This window comes from Homo sapiens, chromosome 8 (assembly GCF_000001405.40).
Source record: "Homo sapiens chromosome 8, GRCh38.p14 Primary Assembly".
NCBI lineage: Eukaryota > Metazoa > Chordata > Mammalia > Primates > Hominidae > Homo > Homo sapiens.
The window spans coordinates 79,392,513-79,393,837 of record NC_000008.11 but is presented as its reverse complement, the minus strand read 5'-3'; the positions used below and the strand labels follow the sequence as shown (position 1 = coordinate 79,393,837).

Here is a 1,325-nt window from a genome sequence, read left to right as displayed (position 1 = left end):
CTTGCAAAGCTTTACAACTAAGTTCAAACTCATGTCATTTCTTTAGACTAACAGGAAATATCTTAATAGGCATAGCCTTGAGGCATGCTGTGACCTGTGCATTATTGATCAAGGGGGAAGGGGAGAAAGGTGAGACCCACTTAAGAAAGTCACTCCAGTTGTTGGATTGGTCACTAAAAGGTCTCTTACTGATGAAACAGGGCCTGGGATATTCAGGGTGTTATAGCTACAATTAAGAAAATTATACTTTTGATGTACCTGGAAGAGGCTTGGTTCCTGTCCATTATTAATAATTTTGATTGTTATCATAACAATAATAATCATTAATTACAATTATTAATGAGACCCTCTATTGTCTCAGAAGTGTCCTAGTTTGGGTAACAAATAATATTCTCTCCTAATTAAAAAGGAAAGGACTTGGGGTTTGGGAGTAGCTCAACCCAAGTTTGAATTCCAGCCTTTATGTCTGTCGGGTAGGTGATCTAGTGCTAGTTACATAATCTCTTTGATTTGCAGTTTTTTATAAGTAACATGAAGATAATAATTTATTCAAAAGTTGTTGAAAGTCTTATATGAATGTAAAATATGCAGCTGAGTACCTTGCATATGGTTGGCACTAAATAAGTCACTGCTACTTTTGTTATTCTGATTGGTATTTTTATCCAAAAAGGCTCAATTCCAAAGGAAGAGCAAGATAACAGAAATCTAGGTAAGTGTTGATTTTTTTTTTTTTTTTTTTGAGACAGTGCTTCGGTCTATCACCCAGGCTGGAGTGCAGTGGTGCTATCATGGCTCACTGTAACCTCGATCTCCTGGGCTGAAGTGATCCTCCCTTTTTAGCCTCCTGAGTAGCTAGAACCACATGTGACATCATACCTGGCCAACTAAAAAAAAATAAAAATCCACAAAACCTTTTTTTGTCAAGATAGGGTCTCGCTATGTTGCCCAGGCTGGTCTTGAACTCCTGGGCTCATGTGATCCTTCCACTTCAGTGTCCCAAAGTGCTAGGATTACATGTGTGAGCCACGGTGCCCAGCTGAGGTGATAATTGAAGTGAAGTTCTGATTATTCTAACTCCAGGGAACAAGATGGGAAGAGGAACCAAGGACATGGAAGAGAGTGTGCAGCTCCACATGGAAGGGCCTGGCCAAATCTAAGGCAAGTGGTAAGAGACCCATAACAATGAGGTTGTTCAAAGATATAGGCCATAGAGTGTACTGCAAAAATCTGTCAATAACCCAGTTCAACGGTCCAGGAAAGTATAGAGAAGTTGTGGAAGACAGTTGCCACTGTAGTGCTCAGGATACTGTGAGAGACAGCAGCTG

At 40.0% G+C, this 1,325-nt stretch overlaps 1 annotated feature.

Moving 5' to 3' along the window:
• Positions 463–992: an enhancer, noted in NCBI's record as "H3K27ac hESC enhancer chr8:80305081-80305610 (GRCh37/hg19 assembly coordinates)". NCBI's record gives its function as "activates a minimal SCP1, AML or CMV promoter by ChIP-STARR-seq in primed H9 embryonic stem cells {active_cell/tissue: H9 hESC(primed)}" and the evidence as "EXISTENCE:reporter gene assay evidence [ECO:0000049][PMID:30033119]".